Source organism: Homo sapiens, chromosome 6 (genome assembly GCF_000001405.40).
Source record: "Homo sapiens chromosome 6, GRCh38.p14 Primary Assembly".
Taxonomy (NCBI): domain Eukaryota; kingdom Metazoa; phylum Chordata; class Mammalia; order Primates; family Hominidae; genus Homo; species Homo sapiens.
In genome coordinates this window covers 139,518,170-139,528,951 of record NC_000006.12, presented here as the reverse complement: position 1 = coordinate 139,528,951, position 10,782 = coordinate 139,518,170, and the positions used below count along the sequence as shown (strand labels likewise).

At 41.1% G+C, this 10,782-nt stretch overlaps 1 long non-coding RNA gene across 1 annotated transcript, besides 1 other annotated feature; it reads right to left on the bottom strand.

Moving 5' to 3' along the window:
- Positions 1 to 975: 975 nt before the first annotated feature.
- LOC105378023 (uncharacterized) lies at positions 976 to 4,129 on the bottom strand. Its single transcript, XR_943067.2, has 3 exons — positions 3,196 to 4,129; positions 2,366 to 2,589; positions 976 to 1,618 (listed from the first exon to the last, which is right to left on the bottom strand). It is a non-coding gene; the product is annotated as an uncharacterized LOC105378023 (long non-coding RNA).
- Positions 9,858 to 10,334: a transcriptional cis regulatory region, noted in NCBI's record as "candidate enhancer chr6.4965 targeted for multiplex CRISPR interference". NCBI's record gives its function as "positively regulates CITED2 gene expression in K562 cells {active_cell/tissue: K562}" and the evidence as "EXISTENCE:mutant phenotype evidence [ECO:0000015][PMID:30612741]".

Below are 10,782 nucleotides of genomic sequence, written 5' to 3'. Positions count from 1 at the left end.
CTGCATTTATCTCTTTTTTTGGCTTGTCTCTCAAGTCAAAAAAGTTTTGTGTCAATCACACATTTGAGAAGTTTGCTGTACATTTTATCCTAGACCAAAAATCATTTATAAGGAATTTGGTTAAAACAAAGGCTTGAACATTGTTCTCTTTATATTTCCCCATAGAGAGATTACCTATATTTACCATACCCTTCATTTCCTGTTTTTAAGTTGGTTCCCCAACTCTGACTAATCATTCTCTCCCCCAAATGAGAATTACTGGGATATTCCACTAAAAACTGAATTATCAAATACATTATGAAAATCTATATATACTCAACCCACGGTTTTCTCTGTATTTGTATGAAAATTTACATCATAATGAAAGCAAGTATTTAGGGCTTCTGGTTGCCTACTGGAAAAATCTTTTCTTCCTTTTTTCTATATATAAGCGTTCAGTAATCCTAGCTTTATAGTCTGCCTAAACAGAGGATAGTTGAAGATTATAATTTCCTAGGTTCTATGCTAGAGTTCTTCTTAGTTCTGTGTATAAATTATAATTTGTTTGAGATTACAGATATGGCCAAGCAGTTCCCCAATTCCTCCTTCAAAGCTCTGAGGAGTCCCTTTTGCCAACTCAATCTTCCTGTTACCGGTTAGGTTAGAATGGTGACTTTAAGGCAGAGCAAGGAAATGAATTTGATACCATCTAGACAAGAAACAGGGAGACGGAGGAAACAGATACCCTAGGAAAAACATTATCTAAAGAATTCCTTAGCTCCTTTTTTAAGACTATATTTTAGGAGCATTTTTAGGTTCACAGCAAAATTGAGAAAAAAAAATACAGAGATTTCCCATCTACCTCCTTCCCCCCACACATACATAGCCTCCCCTCCTCACCCATTATCAACATTCCCCACCAGAGTGGTACTGATATCCTACGTTTATCCAACTGATAAACCTATGTTGACATACCATTATTATCAGTATCCATAGTATACACTAATGTTCAATTTTGGTGTTATATATTCAATGGGTTTGGACAAGTATATAATGACTTATATTCACCATTATTACAGCATACAGAGTAGTTTCACTGCCCTAAAAATCCTCTGTGGTCCATGTATTCATCCCTCCGCACCCACCTGCCCCCTGTCACCCCTGGCAAACAATGATTGTTTTACTGTCCCAATAGTTTTGCCTTTTCCAGGATGGCATATAGTCAGAATCACACGTACAGATTGGCTTCTTCCACCTGGTAATGTGCATTTAAATATCCTCCATGTCTTTTCGTGGATTAACAGCTTGTTTCTCTTTAGTGCTGAATAATATTCCATTGCCTAGATGTACCACGTTCATTTATTCATCTACTGAAGAACATCTTGGTGGCCTTCAGGTTTTGGAAATTATGAATAAAGCTACTATAAGCATCCTTGTACAGATTTTTATGCAGGCATTCCTTAGTTCTTTTCAGTGACCAAGGTACCCATGAATTAGAGGTGCTGTTACCTAGTGGCCCTCATCACACTCCAGAATGTTCCTTACTCCATCATCCATTCAGCACCCTTTGGGGCTGGGTACTGTGCTAGGTGCTGAAGATGCAGACAGGAAAAGAGAACGAGTCCTGACCTTCATAGAGCTAAGATTCAGGAGGAGAAATACAGACAAGGGAAAAGAAATGAAACAATTTTAAGGCAGTATTGGTGATTAAGTGCTATGAATAATTAATTATCAGGTAAATGTAATAAGTAAAACTAAATACTTCTGGACAGGAAAATCTACCACAAGCCTTTGAGCTTGGAAATGTTGAAGAAGTAACTGTCTCCAATGAACAATAAAATAACTTTTGGCCTGATAGGCTTTCTAGGTCACCAGCAAGAAATTGGACCAGATCAAAGCAAACAGCAACATTAAGTCTAAAATGATAAGTCAAAATTTTATTGGCTGATAAAATTTTAGCGACTGAGCAGCATTTGCATATAGAGGTGTCTTAGTCAGCTTGGGCTGCCATAACAAAATACCATAGGCCAGGTGGCTTAAATAACAGTAATGCATTTCTTACAGTTCTGGAGGCCAGGAAGCCCAGGATCAAGGTGACTGCCAATTCAGTTCTCCATTGAGGAACTTCTTCCTGGCTTATAGATGGCCACCTTCTCACTGTGTCCTTACATGGCAGAGAAAGAGTGAGCTTCTGGTCTCTCTTCCTATTCTTATAAGGACACTAATCCCATCATGGGGCCCCACCCTCATGATTTCATCTAAGTTTAATGACCTCCCAAAGGCCCCACTTCCAAATACCATCACATTACAAATTGGAACTTCAACATATGAATTTGGAGGGAAGACGCAAACGTTCAGTCCATACCAGCAGATGTGAACATCCTACCAGAACATGCTTGGAAATGCCTTGTCCTATGTTCAGAGGCCAGAGCTTCCATGCTGCTGTCAATGGTTTGCTCCAGTGGTGAAGGTGGTCTTTGCCTCTCTTCCAGGACACCACTCCCATGGAAGCATCCAAATGGGTCTCCAGTGTTGCCCAGCCTCAACTACCAATGCATTTGTGGTCCCAAGTTTCTATGACAATTTCCCTGTCACCATCTGGCATGATTCCTGGGGGTGAGAGGTGGGTGAAGTGCTACACATAATTTTTCTTTTAATATTGCAAATAAGGAATATTACTCTTAAGAACAGTATTTATTACATGACTGAGAGAATAAAATATTTAAGAGGGTATTCCAATTAACCTTGATATAGTTGCAAAGTAATCTAAAAGCCTATTTATTCTAATCCTGAGAAATACTAATCTGAGGCAGGGCGTGGTAGCTCATGCCTGTAATCCCAGCATTTGGGAGGCCGAGGTGGGCGGATCACCTGAGGTCGGGAGTTCGAGACCAGCCTGACCAACATGGAGAAACCCCGTCTCTACTAAAAACACAAAAAATCAGCCGGGCGTGTTGGTGCATGCCTGTAATCCCAGCTACTTGGGAGGTTGAGGCAGGATAATTGCTTGAACTCAGGAGGCGGAGGTTGCAGTGAGCCTGCACTCCAGCCTGGGCAACAAGAGCAAAACTCCGTCTCAAAAAAAAAAAACAAGAAAGGAAAAGAAAGAAATACTAATCTGGGTCAGACATGTTGCTGTGCTTTTAATATAACAAGGGAAAAAAAGTACATCCTACATACATTTATATTTATGGGCTTTGATTCTTAGGTGCTTACAGAGCTATGAAGAATGTTCCAGTGTTGCAGCATCAGGGATAAACAACAGAACACTTCATTCTTTGTGAACACAGATGGATGATAAGCCCCTGCTCAGAAAGAATGTCATTTAAAAGAATACTCCTCCTCTTCTTGGTTGTTTTCAGAACTATGTAGATGGACTAAAAATAATGTCAAAATTATTACCCTTGGAAAGTGGGGGTAGTAGCACATGGATGATGCAAACCAATTATTAATGACAATCCAACATGACATCGTGATACAAACAGGGAACAACATGTCCTTCTGTTGAATGCTTCAGAAACTATTTATGATCCGTATTTTAAAAGCAATTCTAAAATAAATGCTATAAGTCCATCATGGCCAAATCTGCAAAGGCCTGAAAGAAATTGGGGCATGTATAACCAAATCAAGATGTGCACAAATAAGAAAACTCAAACAAGTGAAATTCCACCGATAACTGAGAGAGCAGCTGACAATCTCAGATGCCTCATCGTTGTTGTTGCCAGAAGTGCCCCCTCAAGAACGAAATGGGGTGCACTGGGAGATGGGGCAAGGATGACAAAAACTTTGCAGATAAAAAGCATCAACGATGATGAACAATTGCCAGACACTCCCAGCAAATCTGTCTTAAATCACCACCATTCTTAATGTGTTTTATTGTGGCTAAATAGAAGAAATGAGCCCAACCTCTCCTCCTGAGAGTTTTTACGAATTGTGGAGCCCATTCAAGCTGCCATCAGAGTTGGGCAGTGAGACCTGAGGAGGTCGTGTGCTTATTTGTATTCGTGCACTCAGAATTCTGTTAGAACTCTGGGCATTGCTAGTATACATTTGAAGTTTTCTGGCCCCTTACAAGCTATTTTGGAACATGGTTTCAAAACAGGAAAACCAATTTGCACCTACACTAGAGCCATTGAGCTGGTGCCAGAGAAGCCCTGTGGGTTGGCCGAGCACCACTGCAACACAAGGAAAATGAGGAAGGGGCTCTAAACCCAGGAATCACAATTTTCCTTATATAGAAAGTAGAGTTGGCTCTAGCTACCTTTCAGGGTTGTCATGAGGCAGTCACTCTCTAAAGAAAATCCGAGGCCAGGCGCAGCGGCTCTCACCTGTAATCGCAGCACTTTGGGATGCCGAGGCAGGTGGATGGCCTGAGCTCAGAGTTTAAGACTAGCCTGGGCAACATGGTGAAAACCCATCTCTACCAAAAATACAAAAAATTAGAGAGGCATGGTGGTGCACACCTGTGGTACCAGCTGCTTTGGAGGCTGAGGCAGGAGAATCACTTGAGCCCGAGAGGTAGAGGTTGTGGGGGGCCAAGATAGTGCCACTCAAACCTGGGTGACAGTGAGACCCTGAAGAAAGAAAGAGAGAGAGAGAGAGAGAGAGAGGAAGGAAGGAGGGAGGGAGGGAGGGAGGGAGGGAAAGAAGGAAAGAAGGAAGGAAGGAAGGAAGGAAGGAAGGAAGGAAGGAAGGAAGGAAGGAAGGAAGGAAGGAAAAAGGAAATCTGAGCTTATCTTCTTCCCTTTTGCCCAAAAGGAGCCAAGAAATTTTCCCCGGTGGGGAAAGGTTAAGCCTCATAACCTGATGTCATCAGAAGCATTCAAATAATATTTTTAAAAGAATCTTCTAATAAACTATCTCTGGAAAAAATAAAATAAAATGATAAGGATGATTGTCTTTGAGGAGAAAAGCTCGGTGGTTGTGGGCAGCAGACTGAAGGGAAATGGACTCACTGTGTATGTTTTAATATTGGGTATCATGTGTCTTTCAACCTAGTCAAACATTAAATAAATAAAATGTAATTTTCTAACGTAGCCTTCAAAATCCATCATTTTGTGTGTTCTGCTTTATTATAGGGTTAATAGTGACTTAGAGCTTTGCTCTGCTCCTTAGACATTATTCAACATAAAAGGCATCCCATATGAAGATTAGAAGATCATAGGTTCCTACTTAAAAGAAGGAAGCAAGCTCAACAATTATTACAATTTCTCTTAATAGAAAAGAAACATGGAATGTGTTAGTGAAATCTTGACATTTTATAATTAGTCCATTATATCCTAATTTTTAAAAATGTAATGAATGAACTTTCCCACCCCTCTTCTCCAACCAGCTTTGTTTTCTCTAATCAGCTGCCTTGTCTCTTCTACAATGAAAGCACGCCCATACACCTCCTCACCTTTCCTCACGCCCATACACCTCCTCACCTTTCCTCACCACCAAACACTTACTTGCAACAGAAGAAAGAAAAGATCAGTGTCAGAGGGCAGAGAATAAAAAGGTACAGTCTTCTAATTTCTTTTATTTGGAAAACAGAAATAAAAATTACTATACAGGTTGCCAATCATGTTGTCTTTCAAACTTTAATTTCCCTAAAGGGAAAGAGTTTTAATTTTCTTTAGCATCTTAAACATTGTCAAGTCTACCTAGGTTTAAAAACAAATATTGTTTGACAATAATGCCATTTTTCCTTTCTGTCACTGAGGAGCAACATTATGTAACAACGATTCCATGGCCAAGCAAAACTCTCACTGATATTTCATTCAACTTTCACACTGCCAAGGGGTCACTGGTCTCACCATCACTACAGACACCCTACTCCAGTCCTGTTTAGAACAAAACGTTCTTAGAACACATTCTAAACACATTCCCATACCTCTCACCTGCTTATTGAAAAATCTCCTTCAGGGGAAATGACATTCCTCAACTTTTCCTTTTTTTCACCTTTGGTATATTTACTTACCCATGTCTTAGTCAGTCTATGAATACTCTGGAAACTTGAGAAGACCTCTTCAGGAAGATAATGAGAAGGAACAGATTTTTAGGAAAACATTCCTATGTTTTAGGGAAATGAAGATGATTTGTTAAGGCAAATTTCTGTACTTATGGTGCCTAGGTCTCTATACTGGAAGTCGGTATAAGGCAGGGAGCTTTGTGAAGGAAATCTCTTAATTCTAGCAATAAGGGCTGCTTTGAGTTAATTGTGTTAAGGAAGTAGTGTTTTAGTGATTCATGTTTAAATGAAACCATTATTTTCTAAACCCTGCCAAAAACTTACCACAACTCATTCATGTGATTTTATTACAAATTAAGATTTACATAATTTTGGAAAAGAGATGTACACTTTGAACTATTTTGGGAAGGAAGACCTGTGCCTGAAGGCAATGAATTTTCCTGAAAAGTGGAACAAAAGAAGAGGAACTGCCATAATGCCGGTGGCCAGGGGACCAGGGGTCACCCTCAATTCAGTAGTTCTGTGATGGTTTAAAAGAGGAATGTCACACACTACGATGTGCCTGAGGAACACAGCCAAGACCCAGTGGGATTTGTTCCAAGGAATGTACACAGGAGAGAGGGGTTACAAAAGATTTAGGGGTTTTAGTTTGGGCGCAGTGGCTCACGCCTGTAATCCCAGCACTTTGGGAGGCCAAGGCAGGTGGATCACGAGGTTAGGAGATCGAGACCATCCTGGCTAACACGGTGAAACCCCACCTCTACTAAAAATACAAAAAATTAGCCGGGTGTGGTGGTGGGCGCCTGTAGTCCCAGCTACTCGGGAGGCTGAGGCAGGAGAATGGCGCAAACCCGGGAGGTGGAGCTTGCCATGAGCCGAGATGGCGCCACTGCACTCCACCCTGGGAGACAGAAAGAGACTCCATCTAAAAAAAAAAAAAAAAAAAAAAAGATTTAGGGGTTTTGTTTTTGTTTCTGTTGTTGTTCTTGTTGTTTTTCATTTGTAGACCAGTTAACCATCTCCATAGCCTAATCCCCATAAAAAAATAGGAAATAAGATATATGATCAACTAAAGATTATTTCCAAGTTTTTTTTTCCTTCAAATTTGAAGAGAGGTGTTTTACCTCTTCCCTAGACTACAGACAGGAACTTCTGGAACTCTCTTGAGGAGTTGGAGGATGGGAATAAGAGGATGAAAGGAAGAGCAAGACAACCTCTCACTGTAAATAAGCCAGGAGCACAGCTGTTGGAATCCCATGGCCAAAGGAAGGCACAGAAAGCTGAAGATCTGTCCTTCCTCCACCTTTTCCAATCTTAGGGCCTTCTTCCCACATTAAATATTTGCTGATACCACATTTGATTTTCTTTACTCACTGAAGCCTATGGGCCAGGTTAGTGATGGTTTGGCACTACTTGGAAGAAGAGCTTTCATTACAGTGTCTTATTACTTTACATGCCAGTACATGTGTGCCATATATACAAGCACGTGTTGGTTATGCCCACAAGAACACTCTGTAAATGTGAAAGCATCAAGCAAGCCACCAAGAAGACTTCTACCTAAATAGGCAAAACTCAAGAGCTTCTCAACATCTCCCTGCCTTATGTTATTCTCAGTGGCAAGAGCTCATGGGGGCGGCAGGGCCTGGAAGCAGGTGGCCTGGGTTGGCACAACGTTAGCCATCTAATCTTAAACACGTCACCTTTCAAAGGGTCTGTTTCCTTACTTAGAATACGAAGGCACTCTTGGGTTTCTCCTCGCTCTTAATTTTAAAATCTCTATTCCCATATTCCTACTGATAAATCTGAATAAAATATAAACCCCTACATTGACAATTACTACAGGAACGACAGTAATGAAGTGACAAAAATATTACTGCAATCATCTTTCTTCCTCCAAAAAACTACAGATTACAGCAACATCTCCAAAATTTAGTGTTAGATTTTCTCAGCATTCCACATCAAAGGAAAAACAGTTTAAATATATATACATATGAATGTATAAATTTGGTACCTTCACTGCAAAAAAAAATATCAGTGTGCAAAAATGAGTGCAAAAGAGATCACTCCTCATGCATGGAGTGGTGATTTCCCTGAAGTTTGGAGTAGACTTGGCGATTCAGAACATCACTTATCTTTATCCAAACTCCATAATCCATAAACTGTGGACCTATTTTCACCCCTAACCAATGAAAGACAGCTGGCTCCATGTATATAAAGAAATTGTATAAAACTCTATCCAAGTTTTCAGTTCGTTAATGACAAAGATTTGACTCCAGATTTCATCACTGTAACATCCCACCATTGTTCCCCCATGACTCACTGTACCTGATTTACAGGAAGATACAGTCTGAATATGAAAGGACATTTCATCATCAGCAACAACAGAAAGTATCCATTAAGTCATAATTATATGACTTGGTGTTTCATTAGTCACCTTAAAAAAAAAAAAAGAAAAAGAAAGAAAAGAAATACGGTCCTTCCATTCTAACTGGGTACATTCTACAACTAAAAAGAATGTTTTGAACCAGCATGATAAGGACATACAGATGGCAAAATGCAACATCACAGTTGATCACAAAGGCATAGATTTCTATATAAGGGTGACCAATAAGGAGCCAGCAGGGTCAACATGCGATGACGGCAATCAACATAGAGGTCTAGAAAAGTTGAGATAAGATAAAGCATGTGTTCTTATCACTCTGGGAAGACTTCCTGGAACTGGTAGCGTTTTTTGGTAGGGAAATATACATTGGCTGGTGGGCTGGGGGCTCAGGAAAGGTTCATAAAAGCAAGTGGAATAATTATTCAAGAGGGTGCTCACCTTGTGATCTGCTTACGGAGGTCCACTCACCTGGGACCCTAGATCTGCTGCACAATATTTGAAGGAGAGGATGCCGTTAGGGGACAAAAAGTTTGACAAGGACACAGAGACAGTGGTCCTGATAAAAGAAGACAAAGTTCTGCAACTAGGCAGACAGCAAGGAAAGCAGTGCATTCAGATGCTGGAAAGGAAGACATTCTCTCAAGCAGCAGATGGCCTCTCGTGGATCTCACTTGCACCGTACACCATGGCTTTAACAAGACATTTTGCAATGGGTAGCTTAGAATCTGGTATCCAAGAACAGTGACCCATTTCAGGGTGTCTTAATATCCTGAAATTTACCACAAACTTGGTAAGTTGAAGTTTCTGTGGGATATTATTGGGAAATGCTTCACATCCCTAAGTCATTCCTTCTCAACTGTTCCTCAAAAGCTTAAAATAGCACTTAACTCCCAGAGTGATTCAACTGGCTTAAAATAATTCACAAACATCTTCCTCAAAGGAAGTAGGGAAAAGATAGGAGGTGGAATGCAAATCAGCTAACAGGTTTTGTGAACACTGAGAGGTGAATAGATTAGCGCTAACAGATCGGGTAGAGTCTGGAGGCAGCCGTGAAGCTGATTGTGTCTCGATCAGGTTATTTCAGCCAATAATTGTTTGTTGGAGTTAGAAAGCATATAAAGGTTAACAAGGCTAAGGAAGACCGGTCTCTGGGAAATAAACTACATAGCCTAAGGAGATGATAATCAAGGGAGAAAATTCCTCTTATCCTTGCTAAGCCATATCTACATGGAAATAATAGTCAATAGGCTTTCTATATCTAGATGGTAACGGTTTCTTTTCCCAAGGATTGGCACCAGATAGGTTGTTTGGGGAAAGGGGTAAGAAGGGGAAGCACGTGGATTTGCCGCTCACACCTACTATAAACGCTACAAAACAACATTCTTCTTTTATTTTGAAGCCACATTCTGTAAGCTTGTGAGTTAATTCATTAATTCACCAGAAATTTATTTTACACTCATCACACATCAGACACTATGCCAGGCCCTCAGGATATAAAAGTGAATAAATAATATAATTAATCATAATAATAGCTTCCATTATTGGGTGGCTAGCATGTGCCAGGAATTCTACCTCCGTTATGCAATGGAATGCCCACAACTAACTTCTAAATGAGGCATTATGTTCCCATTTGTCAATGGAACACTAAGATGAAGAAATGAGCGTTCTGAGAGGCTAATAAAAGTGGCAGATGGCTCAAGGAACTCCAGTGTGAGAGCGAGATAAGCACTCCATGTTTGCAATATTCTATGGGAAATGCTAAAACAGAGATTACAAAAATAATAGGAGGAGCTTCTAACTCAGCACAGGGGAGAGGAGATCGATAGGCGAGGAGAGGGGAAAGTAGGAGTGTGTATGAGAGCCAGAGAGATAAGGTATCTCTCTGAGGGTGTGTGTGTGGGGGCGGGGGAGAATGTGTGTCCGTGTGTGTATGTCTGTGTGTGCGTGGGTATACATGTTTCTTTCTGTTTGTTTTTTGTTTTTTTGTTTGTTTGTTTGTTTGTTTTTGAGACAGACTCTCGCTCTGTCGCCCAGGCTGGAGTGCAATGGCACGATCTCGGCTCACTGCAACCTCTGCCTCCTGGGTTCAAACGATTCTTCTGCCACAGCCTCCCAGGTAGCTGGGATTACAGGCGCCCACCACCACACCTGGCTAATTTTTGTAGAGACGGGGTTTCACCATGTTGGCCAAGCTGGTCTTGAACTCCTGACCTCAGGTGATCTGCCCGCCTTGACCTCCCAGAGTGCTGGGATTACAGGCGTGAGCCACCACGCCCGGCCCTGGGTATACATATTTGTGTGTGTGTGTGTGTGTGTGTGTGTGCCTGCGCGCAAGTGCACATGTGCCCTGGGGGGGGGAGAAGGTCATAGCACCCCAGAGATATACAGTCCAGGAAAGGAGATAGGGGTAATATGAACTGTCTTTCAACCAACCATACCCACAAAAAGCTTCCCTCTGCATTTCTGC